Consider the following 13554-nt stretch of genomic DNA (forward strand, 5'->3'; position numbering starts at 1 on the left):
TCAGCTGGTGAATGGATGAACAAAATGTGGTGTATCCATACAACAGAATATATTCAGCCATAAAAAAAATGAGGGTCTCATATATGCTGAAATATGAATGAACTTTGCAAACATTAGGCTAAGTGAAAGAAGCAAGACACAAAAGGTCACGTATTGTATGGTTCCACTTATATCATATATCCAGAATGGATGAATCCATACAGAAAGAAAGCCAATTTAGTGGTTGCCAGGGACTTCAGGGAGGAGAGAGTGGGAAGTGACTGCGTAATAGGAATGAGGTTTCCTTTTAGGGTGATAAAAGTGTCTTAGAAATAGACAGAAGTGATGGTTGCACAATATTGGGAATATACTAAACGCCACTCAATTATACACATTAAAATGGTTAATGATCAATTTTGTTATATGAATTTTACCTCAATTTATTTAAAATAAAAAGAATGAAATGCTGATACATGTTATAACATGAAGATGAATTTCAAAAACAGTGTGCTGTGTGAAAAAACCCAGTCACCAAAGACCACATATTGCATGATTCCATTTACATGAGATGTCCAGAATGGGCAAATCTACAGAGACAGAAAGCAGGTTAGTGGTTGCCACGGGCTGGGGAAATTGGAGGAAAATGAAAAGTGACTACTAAAGGGTATAGGGCTTCTTCCTTGGGAGTTTCTTTTTGGGGTGATGAAAATACTCAAAGTTGATTGTGGTGATAGCTGCACAACGCTGTGAATATACTAAAAACCAGCGAATTGTACATTTTAAATGGATGAACTACACAGATGTGAATTATATATCAATAAAGCTGTTATCAAAAAAAGTAACATTTCATTACCTGTCTAATAAACAAGTTACTGTTGTCATGTTAATCTCCTTCACATATCCTCTAGACAAAGCAAACAGTGACCTTTCTTCTCCACTTACAATAACTCTGTCACCTGCCATTAGATTTGTGACAGGTATGGCACCATGTTTACATTGGAAATTATGTAAATATTGCCCATCACAAACTATCTTTACATGTTCCATTCTAATCAGGTTTCCAATGCAACTGCCACTCTTCTCCCTATGAAAAGACCAAAGAGAAAAAAACTTCTGTTTATATTACATACGTAAGTATTGTGTCTGCATTTTCCTACAACTTACTTGTTCATCTGACTCCTAAAAATTATTATTGAGGCCGGGTGTGGTGGCTCACGCCTGTAATCCCAACACTCCAGGAGGCCGAGGCGGGTGGATTACCTGAGGTCAGATGTTCAAGACCAGCCTGGCCAACATGGTGAAAACCCTATCTCTACTAAAAAAAAAAAAATAAAAATAAAAAATTAGCCAGGTGTGGTGGTGCTCGCCCGTAATCCCAGCTACTCAGGAGGCTGAGGCAGGAGAATCACTTGAACCCGGGAGGTGAAAGTTGCAGTGAGCCAAGATCTCACCATTGCTCAACAACCTGGACAACAAGAGCAAAACCACCTCTCAAAAACAAAAACAAAAACAAAAACAAAACAAAACAGACTAATATTGAGCCTGTCATTTTTACATTTTCCACAACCTACAGTAAAATGTTAGAAATGTTAAGTAAACATTCTCTTAGTTTCTGGGGTTTTTTGAGACACCCTCCGACCCCCACCCTGTTCAAGCGATTCTCATGCCTCAGTCTCCTGAGTAGCTAGGATTACAGGCATACACCACCACGACAAGCTAATTTTTTATATTTTTAGTAGAGACAGGGTTTCACCATGTTGGCCAGGCTGGATTCGGACCCCTGGACTCAAGTGACCCACTGGCCTCAGCCTCCCAAAGTGCTGGGATTACAGGCCTGAGGCACCATGCTCGGCCCTCTACTAGTTTTAAATGAATTGCTCAACAATAGTCTTGCAAGAAAGTGCTAGGGATCGCCCCACCCTTGTTGCACCCACAGGCTGGGATCTCCAAAAATGGTGTTTTATTGGCACTTTGATCCCTGAGGGGTAGATACCCCCACTTCTTGGGCTGATACATATAATACCATTACAGAAAACAAACCATAATAACCTGCTCCCAAATGCAATATAAAAAAAATTATAGCCAGGCGCGGTGGCTCACGCCTGTAACCCTAGCATTTTCGGAGGCCGAGGCAGGCAGATCATCTGAGGGCAGGAGTTCGAGACAAGCCTGACCAACATGGAGAAACCCTGTCTCTACTAAAAATACAAAATTAGCCGGGCATGGTGGCACATGCCTGTCATCCCAGCTACTCGGGAGGCAGAGGCAGGAGAATCACTTGAACCTGGGAGGCAGAGGTTGCGGTGAGCCAAGATCACGCCATTGCACTCCAGCCTAGGCAACAAGAGTGAAACTCCGTCTCAAAAAAAAGAAAAAAAAACCATTTAAAATCTCTCTGGCAGCACTACTAAATAACATGCAATCTCAGAAGCTTATTAGTATTTATATATGTATGACAGATTCGCTACATATATGCAGTCTAACTACAATTAAATAAACTTTCTCCACAGCAATGTTATCTTGTGTTAAAGTCTAATGTTAGGGAAGAAAATGATCCAATTATTTCTGAAGTCATGTTATTAATATTCATTCTGGGCCGGGCGCCGTGGCTCATGCCTGTAATCCCAGCAATTTGGGAGGCTGAGGTGGGCAGATGACCTGAGGTCAGGAGTTCAAGACCAGCCTGACCAAAATGGAGAAACCCCATCTCTACTAAAAATACAAAATTAGCCAGGCATGGTGGCAAGCACCTGTAATCCCAGCTATTCAGGAGGCTGAGGCAGGAGAATCACTTGAACCCGGGAGGTGGAGGTTGCAGTGAGCTGAGATCATGCCATTGCACTCCAGCCTGGGCAACAGAGCAAGAATCTGTCCAAAAAAAAAAAAAAAAAATTCATTCTGGAAAGAAAAAAATGAAACTAAAACAAGTTACGTTTTACATAAAAAAACATTTGAGGCCAAGTGTAGTGGCTCACACCTGTAATCTCAGCACTTTGGGAGGCTGAGGTGGGCGGATCACGTGAGGTTGAGAGTTCAAGACCAGCCTGACCAACATGAAGAAACCCCATCCCTACTAAAAATACAAAATTAGCCGGGTGTGGTGGTGCATGCCTGTAATCCCAGCTACTCGGGAGGCTGAGGCAGGAGAATCACTTGAACCTCGGAGGCGGAGGTTGTGGTGAGCCAAGATTGCAAGATTACTCCCCAGCCTGGGGAACATGAGCAAAACTCCATCTCAAAAAAAGAAAAAAAAATTTTTGAGGCCGGGTGCAGGGGCTAACGCTTGTAATCCCAGCACTCTGGGAGGCCAAGGCAGCTGGATCACCACGAGATCAGGAGATCAAGACCATCCTGGCTAACACGGTGAAACCCCGTTTCTACTAAAAATACAAAAAAATAGCCAGGTGCTGTGGCTCACACCTGTAATCCCAGCACTTTGGGAGGCCGAAGCGTGTGGATCATCTGAGGTTGGGAGTTCAAGACCAGCCTGACCAACATGGAGAAACCCCGTCTCTACTAAAAGTACAAAATTAGCCTGGCGTGGTGGCCCATGCCTGTAATCCCAGTTTACTCGGGAGGCTGAGGCAAGAGAATCACTTGAATTCAGGAAGAGGAGGTTTCAGTGAGCCAAGATTGTGCCATTGCACTCCAGCCTGAGCAACAAGAGGGAAATTCTGTCTCAAAAAAAAAAAAAAAAATTAGCTGAGCATGGTGGCACGCACCTGTAGTCCCAGCTACTCAGGAGGCTGAGGCAGGAGAATCGCTTGAACCCGGGAGGCAGAGGTTGCATGAGCTGAGATCGTGCCACTGCACTCCAGCCTGGGCGACTGAGCAAGATTCCATCTCAAAAAAAAAAATTTTTTTGGCTGGGTGCAGTGGCTCACACCTATAATCCCAGCATTTTGGGAGGCTGAGGTGGGTGGACTGCTTGAGGCCAGGAGTTCCAGACTAGCCTGGCCAACATGGCAAAACCCCGTCTCTACTAAAAATACAAAAATTAGCTGGGTGTGGTGGCACGTGCCTGTAAACCCAGCTTCTTGGGAGGCTGAGGCATGAGAATTACTGGAACCCAGGAGGCAGAGGTTGCAGTGGGTCAAGACACTCCAGCCTGGGTAACAGAGTAAGACTTTTTTATTTTTTATTTATTTATTTATTTTTTTGAGACGGAGTCTCTCTGTTGACTAGGCTGGAGTATAGTGGCACAATCTTGGCTGACTGTAAGCTCTGCCTCCCGGGTTCATGGGATTCTCCTGCCTCAGCCTTGGGAGTAGCTGGGACTACAGGCACCTGCCACCATGCCCAGCTAATATTTTGTATTTTTAGTAGAGATGCGGTTTCATTGTGTTAGCCAGCATGGTCTCAATATCCTGACCTCGTGATCCACCCTCCTTGGCCTCCCAAAGTGCTGGGATTACAGGCGTGAGCCACCTTGCCCAGCCCAGAGCAAGACTTTGTCTAAAAAAAAAAAAGTTTCACATACTACAAAAGGCCTGAGATTAAAAAAATGAAAGCAATTAAATTTTACATATGTATAGTATACTCACTACACATACGCAGTCTATCCACAATTACATAAACTTTCTCCACTGCAATGTTTCCTTGTGTTAAAGTCTAATATTAGGGAAATAATAATCCAATTATTTCTAAAGTCACATCATTAATACTCATTCTGCAAAGAAAAAATGAAGCTAAAGCAATGAAATTTTACATAAAGAAAAATACTACGCAAAGATAAATTCTAGGCCAGGCATAGTGGCTTATACCTATAATCTCAACACTTTGGGAGGCCAAAGTGGGAGGATCACTTGAGCTCAGGAATTTAAGACTATGCTGGGCAACATAGCAAGACCCTGTTTCTATAATCACGTAAAATAAAATAAAACAAAAAAATTAGCCATGGCACAGTGGCTCGCAGCTGTAATACCAGCACTTTGGGTGGTCAAGATGGGAGGATCACTTGAGGCCAGGAGTTCAAGACCAGCCTGGGCCATATAGCAAGACCCCATCTCTAAAAAAAAAAAAGTTAGCCAAGTTTGGTGGTGCACACCTATGGTCCTAGCTACTCAGGAGGTTGAGGCAGGAGCACTGTGAACTTTATCCCAGAAGTTCGAGGCTACAGTGAGCCATGATTGCACCACTATACTCCAGTCAGGGCAGCAGAGTGTGACCCTGTCTCTTAAAAAAAAAAAAAAAAAAAAGAAAAATTCTAACTTTACAGGTACATATTACTATTATTTTTTTAAATGAATCCCACAAGGACTATGAAATGGACCTTTAGAAAATTTGCATCTGTATCAAAAGTTACTGAAAATATAAACATTTAAAATACGAGTATTTAGACCAGGCAAGGTGGCTCACGCCTGTAATCCCATCACTTTGGGAGGCTGAGGTGGGTGGATCACTAAGTCAGGAGTTCAAGACCAGCCTGGCCAAGATGGTGAAACCCTGTCTCTACTAAAACTACAAAAATTAGCTGGGCGCAGTGGCAGGCGCCTGTAATCCCAGCTACTTGAAGGCCGAGGCAGGAGAATAGCTTGAATCCAGACAGCAGAGATTGCAGTGAGCTGACAACATGCCACTGCACTCCAGCCTGGGTGACAGAGTGAGATTCCATCTCAAAAAGAAAAAAGCGAGTATTTAAAAAATCCAGTAAATACCACATTAATTTGCATTATACCAATATATACAACAATTTACTTTAAGATATACTCAAGTTTATAATGTTATCACCGATGAAAAAGTGTATACTGAAAATTTTTAACAGGATTTAAAATAATTTTTTTTTTTTGAGTCAAGGTCTGGCTCTATCACCCAGGCTGGAGTGCAGTGGTGTGATCTCAGCTCACTGCAACCTTCACCTCTGGCTCAAGCCATCCTCCCACCTCATCCTGGGACTACAGACATGCACGACCACACCTAGGTAATTTTTGTATTTTTTGTAGAGACAGGGTTTTGCCATGTTGCCCAGGCGGGTCTCAAACTGGTGAGCTGAAGTGATCCACCTGCTTCGGCATCCCAAAGTGCTGGGATTACAGGCATGACCCGACGCCCTGACAAAAGTAATTTTTTTTTTTTTTTTGAGACAGAGTCTCGCTCTGTCACCCAGGTTGAAGTGCAGTGGTGCGATGTTGGCTTACTGTAACCTCCACCTCCCGGGTTCCAGCAATTCTCCTGCCTCAGTCTCCTGAGTAGCTGGGATTAAAGGCGCCTGCCACCACGCCCGGCTAATTTTTTGTTTTTGTTTTTTTGTGACAGTTTTGCTCTTGTTGCCCAGGCTGGAGTGCAATGGCAGGATCTTGGTTGACTGCAGCCTCCGCCTCCCAGGTTCAAGCGATTCTCCTGCCTCAGTCTCCCAAGTAGCTGGGATTACAGGCACCCGCCACCACGCCCAGCTAATTTTTGTATTTTTAGTAAAGACGGGGTTTTGCCATGTTGGCCAGGCTGGTCTCAAACTCTTGACCTCAGGTGATCCACCCACCTCGGCCTCCCAAAGAAAAGTAATTTTTAAAACAAGATTTCTTGAGGTATATTTAGTCTACTGAAACTATATTACTAACTAGCAATGATTGCAGCACATAGGATACACAGGAATGGTGCTCTTCTTAGAAACAATAGAGAGCCATCTGCAGTTGTCATGAATAAATGAAATCACGTTATCTATAACATGCTTCATAACTTGTATTTGTCATAAATTCCAAAGGCCACCTCATTCACTAATCCAAACTACTGAAATCTTACTGTACTAAATGGACCACTTACATTTCCGAAGCAGGCATTAGCCAGATATTTTGGTGATTCTTTTTATTATCCTTCGATTGTGACTCCAGGGTTAACATTAGACACCAAAGGCTGAAATATTCTAAGTGTGTTTGCTTCAGATGCTGGGTTTCTTCTTCTATTTTGGGCAGCATCACAATTGGGACTGAACTACAATCCATCTGTTGTTCAACTGCTCTAAATATAAAGTTCCAAGTTAGAGATGCTTATAAACCATTTCCCTGGCTGGGTACGAAGTGAGATAATTCCAAAATAAGAACACATATATGATCATCATCATAACTCATAACCACAGCCCCTAATGTTCCTTAAAAGTCATTTAAACATAAGCCATATGGCTTTTTATAAAACCAAATGTGTGAGAAACTCAATACTGCATTATTTTGCCTTCAGCGACTATCCCCCAAACAACTCAGGTTGGGTAAACCCTAATCTTCATTCCCATATGCAACAAGTTTTGGCTTTTAATACAACTTCATTTCTCAAAAATCACAATATTTGTACACCCAGCTCAGTGACGTAAGTACACATAAAAACACAGAGAATCATTTGGATTTTGCTTAATACCAGATTAAAATATTTTCTATAGAAACAAACATGCTATAGGACAGCATACCAAACACTGACGATAAACATAAGATTTCAAAGAAATATGCCCAGACTTCCTACGGTTCACAGTCCTCTGCCATTAAGAGATCCCTTGAAAAAATACCTTAAAAAGTATTTATATGAGGCCGAGTGCAGAGGCTCATGCCTATAATTCTAGCATTTTGGGAGGCCAAGGCGGGTGGATTGACTGAGCTCAGGAGTTCGAGACCAGCCTGGGCAACACACGGTGAAATCCCGTCTCTACTAAAATACAAAAACTTAGCCAGGTGTGGTGGCGGATGCCTGTAGTCCCAGCTACTCGAGAGGCTGAGGCAGGAGAATTGCTTGAACCCAGGAGGTGGAGGTTGCAGTGAGCCAAGATTGCACCACTGCACTCCAGCCCAGGCAACAAAGCAAGACTCTGTCTCAAAAAAAAAGAAAAAAAGTATTTCGGCATAGTGCAGTGGCTCAAGCCTATAATCCCAGCACTTTGGGAGGCCAAGACAGGCAGATCACTTGAGGTCAGGAGTTCAAGACCAGCCTGGCCAACATGGTGAAACCCTATCTGTATTAAAAACACAAAAAATTGCTGGGCGCAGTGGTTCATGCCTGTAATCCCAGCACTTTGGGAGGCCGAGGTGGGCGGATCACGAGGTCAAGAGATCGAGACCATCCTGGCCAACATGGTGAAACCCTGTCTCTACTAAAAATACAAAAATTAGCTGGGTGCGGTGGCGAGCGCCTGTAGTCCCAGCTATTCGGGAAGCTGAGGCAGGAGAATCGCTTGAACTAGGGAGGCGGAGGTTGCAGTGAGCCGAGATCATGCCACCGCACTCCAGCCCTAGTGACAGAGTGAGACTGTCTCAAAAAAATAAATAAATAAATAAAATACAAATAAATAAATAAAAATACAAAAAATTAGCTGGGCGCGGTGGCTCACGCCTGTAATCCCAACACTTCGGGAGACTGAGATGGTCAGATCACCTGAGTTCGGGAGTTGGAGACCAGCCTGACCAACACGGTGAAACCTCTTCTCTACTAAAAATACAAAATTAGCCGGGAATGGTAGCACATGGCTGTAATCCCAGCTACTTGGGAGGCTGAGGCAGGAGAATCGCTTGAACCCAAGAGGCAGAGGTTGTGGTGAGCCGAGATTGCACCATTGCACTCCAGCCTGGGCCACAAGAGCAAAAAGTCCGTCTCAAAAAAAAAAAAAAAAAGAAAGAAAGTACTGTGGTTTTTTTTCTATTATCTTAATTTTAGAAATAATACGAAGGAAAATATAAAGGAAAAATAACTAAAATGATGTTATCAATGCCCGTCTGGCCACCAGTGTTAAACGTATTTAGTTGAGTTCATACTCAACTAGAAATAATGCCTTTGGTAGACAATATTTACCTGCTATAAAGAGCACAATTGCCAATTTGTGAACAATATTTACAAGTTTTCTCTTCCTCAATTATTTGTGGCAAAGAAGCAAGCTGTGTCTTCTGTCTAGTAGCAGATTTGCTAATACGGTGAAACAATGAGAATGCCATCTGGTTTCTTAGCTTTAATAATTCTATGAAAAAAAAGGTGAATGTCTTTTTAAGAGTTAAATAAAGTTTATCATGTCTTTTTCACTACATATGTAAAACTTGCAGATTTAAAAACATTTTAGGGCCGGGCACAATGGCTTACGCCTGTAATCCCAACACTTGGGGAGGCTGAGGTGGGCGGATCACCTGAGGTCAGGGGTTCAAGACTAGCCTAACCAACACGGTGAAACCCCGTCTCTACTAAAAATACATAATTAGCTGGGATTGGTGGCGCATGACTGTATTACAGCTAATCAGGAGGCTGAGGCAGGAGAATCACCTGAACCTGGGAGGCGGAGATTGCAGGGAGCTGAGATCGCATCATTGCACTCCAGCCTGGGTAACAAGAGCGAAACTCGGTCTCAAAAAAATAAATAAATAAATAAATAAAATAAAAATAAAAACATTTTAAAACGGAGAAAACAGTATTCATATTTCCCACTATACTAGAATAACAACATTTTGGTATTCATATTTCCCACTATACTAGAATAACAACATTTTGGTACATTTCCTTTAAGTTTCTGTTCACTTGATAAATTCTTTAAACTATATATTTCGTAACTAGTAAGCATTGTGAAGTTGGTATTAGCTGAATACTGAAGATAAATACAGCTATCTAGAATATCTTTAATATAAAATAGAAAGTTTGAAATAAAGTTTTGCATAATAAAATTTTAAAAGATTAATAATGTTTTCAACTATAGAGTATATTATTAAAATTCTTTTAAAAAAAACCACAATTGGCCAGGTACAGTGGCTCATGCCTGTAATCCCAGCACTTTCAGAGACCAAGGCGGGCAGATCTCTTGAGGCCAAGAGTTCAAGACCAGCCTGGCCAACATGGCGAAACCCCATCTCTACTAAAAGTAAAACTAGCCAGGCATGGTGGCACATGCCTGTAATCCTAGCTACTCAGGAGACTGAGGCAGGAGAATCGATTCAACCCAGAAGGTGGAGGTTGCAATGAACCAAGATTGTGCCACTTCACTCCAGCCTGGGCAACAGAGTGAGACTCTATCTCAAAAAACGAAAACAAAAACACACACATAAAAAACAACAACAAAAAAAACCCACAGCTACAAATTATAACCTATTAAGTGCTGTGAGTAGATTGTCAGGTATAAATATGTATCACTAGAAGCTGAAGTGGGGGGGTGGGCAAAGAAGTAAAACTAAAAAAAAAACGGCTCAACCTCTTTTATCTAGATGGTTGGCAGGCACAGGGTACATCTGACCAGTCTTGAGGTAGAGAAGCAAGCCAGCCTCTGGATCAGCTCTTCTCTCTTGGCTTAGTAGAGTGTACAGAACAACCTGTGCAAACATTGACATTTGCTCAAACAAAACTATAACTTCTTGTATTTCCTTACATTGTCTTGCAACCAACACATAATTTTAAACTCAAAAGATCAATAAAGTTATTTCTATTTAATAAGTAACATGAGCCAAATTGGTAAAGATAACACAACAAATTTGATGTCAAACATTTAATCTAGGCCAGGCATGGTGGCTCAGGCCTGCAATCCCAACACTTTGGGAGGCCAAGGCAGGCAGATCGCTTGAGCCCAGGAGTTTGAGACCAGCCTGGGCAATATAGTGAGACCAAGTGATAGTCATTATGTTAAGCAAAAAAAGCCAGACACAGAAAACTTTGTATGTTCTCACTTACTTGTGGGAGCAAAAAATTAAAACAATTGAATTCATGGAGACAGATAGTAGAAGGTTGGTTACCAGAGGCTGGGAACAATAGTGAGGGTGGTGCGGGGGGAGAAGTGGGGATGGTTAATGGGTATCAAGAAACAAAAAAAAAGAGTAATGAATAAGACAGTATTTGCTAGCACAACAAAGTGACTATAGTCAAAAATAATTTAGCTGTGCATTTTAAAATCACTAAAGGAGTATAACTGGGTTATTTGTAACACAAATAATAAATGTTTGAGGGGATGGATACCGCATTTACTATGTTATGATTATTACGTATTGCATGCCTATATTAAAATATCTCATGTAATCCATGAACGTATACACCTACTAAGTACCCACAAAAATTTAAAAGCATAAAAACAAAAACGTAGTGAGATCCCCATTTCTACAAAAAGACATGTATGTAAAAAAAGTTAAAAATTACCCGGGCACGGCTGGGCGTGGTGGCTCATGACTATACTCCCAGCACTTTGGAAGGCCAACGTGGGCAGATTACTTGAGGTCAGGAGTTCGAGACCAGCCTGGCCAACATAGTGAAACCCTGTCTCTACTAAAAATACAAAAATTAGCCGGGTGTGATGGCACATGCTTGTAATCCAGCTACTTGAGAGGCTAAGGCAGGAGAATTGCTTGAACCCGGGAGGTGGAGGTTGCACTGAGTCGAAATCGTGCCACTGGACTCCAGCCTGGGGGACAGAAGGAGACTTCACCTCAAAAAAAAAAAAAAAAAAAAAAATTAGCCAGGCATGGTGATGTGCGTCCATAGTCCCAGCTACTCAGGAGGCTGAGATGGGAGGATTGATTGACCCTGGGAAGTAAAGGCTGCAGTGAGCCAAGACCGTGCCACTACATTCCAGCCCAGGTAACAGAGGGAGACTGTCTTAAAATAAAAAAAAAAGGCCGGGCGCAGTGGTTCACGCCTGTAATCCCAGCACTTTGGGAGGCCGAGGCGGGCGGATCATGAGGTCAGGAGATCGAGACCATCCTGGCTAATAAGGTGAAACCCCGTCTCTACTAAAAATACAAAAAAATTAGCCGGGCGTGGTGGTGGGCGCCTGTAGTCCCAGCTACTCGGGAGGCTGAGGCAGGAGAATGGCATGAACCCAGGAGGCAGAGCTTGCAGTGAGCCGAGATCGCGCCACTGCACTCTAGCCTGGGTGACAGTGAGACTCCGTCTCAAAAAAAAAAAAAAATTTAATTTACACAAAACAAACATAGTTCATGCTTCTCAGTTTTACTTAGATAACCAAGAATTCTATAGAGAATTTTCTTAGAAAGCAAATATTTAGATATCCAATAAATTGAAGAAGGAAATTAATCAAACTATGATTTACATTTTGAAGTTAACAGTCTGTAGAGACTATTTTCTCCATTTAAAATAAATGATCCAAAACAAAAATGATTATCATTTACATGATAGCTACTGTGACAAATAATACTAACTCTACAGTTTGTTTCTCCAGAGCATGAAATGTCATTAACCACCTTAGGTTTCATGAAATTCTTCGGAGAAACCATCTAAGACAAGTTAAAAATAGTCCTTTTAGCTCATGTAACAGCTTTAGCTGTAAGTCAATATAGCAAGACCCCATCTAAAAAAAACTTTCTTAAACCTTTTATTATCAAAATTAAAAAGTCAAATCTTTTAAGTAGGGAAACATTTTTTTCCTCATACCCAACATAATAATGAACTACCATAATTAATTTTTCAATGTCTTGTCTCGTGCATAATATGCAATATAAATTCCAACTTTTTTTAAGCCTTGTTCTAGCAAATTTCCTCATTTTTTTCAATACAAGAATTACTACTTTATTCTTAAAATTTTCTTGCACTTCTTGCAAAAATAAAATCTCCAATTGAACAAAATTAAATACAGTAATATTCTTTGCCTTGAAGCAATGGTGAATTAGAGCAACAATCTCAATGGAAAAAGATCTTGGAATCCAGATCACTTAAGATATTGAAATGCTTTTATTTATTTATTTATTTTTGAGATGGAGTCTGGCTCTGTCACCCCGGCTGGGGTGCAGTGGCGTGATCTCAGCTCACTACAACCTCTGCCTCCCTGGTTTGAGCAATTCTCAGCCTCCCGAGTAGCTGGGACTACAGGCATGTGCCACCACACCAGGTGTGTGTGTGTGTGTGTGTGTGTGTGTGTGTGTGCGTGTGTGTGTGTGTGTGTAGTAGTTTCACCATGTTGGCCAGGCTGGTCTCAAACTCCCGACCTCAAGTGATCCACCCACCTCGGCCTCCCAAAGTGCTGGGATTACAGGCGTGAGCCACTGTGCTGGCCTGAAATGCTTTTATATTTCTCTCCTGTTTAGCATTATAAAGTGATTTCATTCAAACTTGTGATTTTAAAAATCAATTAAAAATTTTCAGTCTCATATACACAAAACACATTCCTTCTGACCTTTGACTTCAAAAACAAGCCTTTCTTCTATTGACATAATGTTCCTTCCTCCAGAGGGTTATAATTTAGCCAAGTATTTAAGTTTGTAATTTCAGTTATTTCTGTATTATTAAAGTAAAAAGTTCAAGTCTTTAAAAAGGGGAAACATTTTTTCTTCCACTTCCAACATCTACAGAAAACCTAATAATAGGTGAAACAAAGTTACCCTACTTTTCATTCCCAAATGTAAAGCTCTTGTGAAAACCTTCAATATTTCGTACACAATTAATAGCAAAAGGCTGGGTGCAAGTGGCTCACACCTGTAATTCCAGCACTTTGGGAGGCCGAGGTGGGAGTATCAGGTGAGGTCGCGAGTTCGAGACCAGGCTGGGCAACATGGCAAAACTCAATTTCTACAAAAAATACAAAAATTAGTCAGGCATAAGGCCGGGCTCAGTGGCTCATGCCTGTAATCCCAGCACTTTGGGAGGCTGAGGAAGGCAGATCACGAGGTCAGACCAGCCTGGCCAACATAG

The 13554-nt window shown here is 41.7% G+C and overlaps 1 protein-coding gene across 5 annotated transcripts in view, besides 2 other annotated features; it reads right to left on the reverse strand.

Moving 5' to 3' along the window:
- The window catches only part of DNA2 (DNA replication helicase/nuclease 2), a 58458-nt gene that overhangs the window by 22115 nt on the left and 22789 nt on the right, over positions 1-13554 (reverse strand). For 4 of the 5 annotated variants that reach the window (NR_102264.2, XM_006717680.3, NM_001080449.3 and 1 more), the window contains 4 exons: positions 10118-10235; positions 8743-8905; positions 6739-6933; positions 833-1063 (listed from right to left, as the gene is read on the reverse strand). Coding sequence is in view for 4 of the 5 variants with exons in the window: in XM_006717680.3 (XP_006717743.1) it covers positions 833-1063; positions 6739-6933; positions 8743-8905; positions 10118-10235 (707 nt within the window). In the remaining variant the exon portion in view is untranslated. The remainder of the gene's footprint in view (positions 1-832; positions 1064-6738; positions 6934-8742; positions 8906-10117; positions 10236-13554) is intronic. The other variant, XM_011539417.1, reaches the window with a different exon arrangement.
- Positions 1543-1712: an enhancer, noted in NCBI's record as "experimental_16674 CRE fragment used in MPRA reporter constructs". NCBI's record gives its function as "activates a minimal promoter by MPRAs in K562 erythroleukemia cells, with activity observed for both the introgressed and non-introgressed 10:70197563 variant alleles {active_cell/tissue: K562}" and the evidence as "EXISTENCE:reporter gene assay evidence [ECO:0000049][PMID:34662402]".
- Positions 11298-11467: an enhancer, noted in NCBI's record as "experimental_16683 CRE fragment used in MPRA reporter constructs". NCBI's record gives its function as "activates a minimal promoter by MPRAs in K562 erythroleukemia cells, with activity observed for both the introgressed and non-introgressed 10:70207318 variant alleles {active_cell/tissue: K562}" and the evidence as "EXISTENCE:reporter gene assay evidence [ECO:0000049][PMID:34662402]".

Source organism: Homo sapiens, chromosome 10, assembly GCF_000001405.40.
Source record: "Homo sapiens chromosome 10, GRCh38.p14 Primary Assembly".
Lineage (NCBI taxonomy): Eukaryota > Metazoa > Chordata > Mammalia > Primates > Hominidae > Homo > Homo sapiens.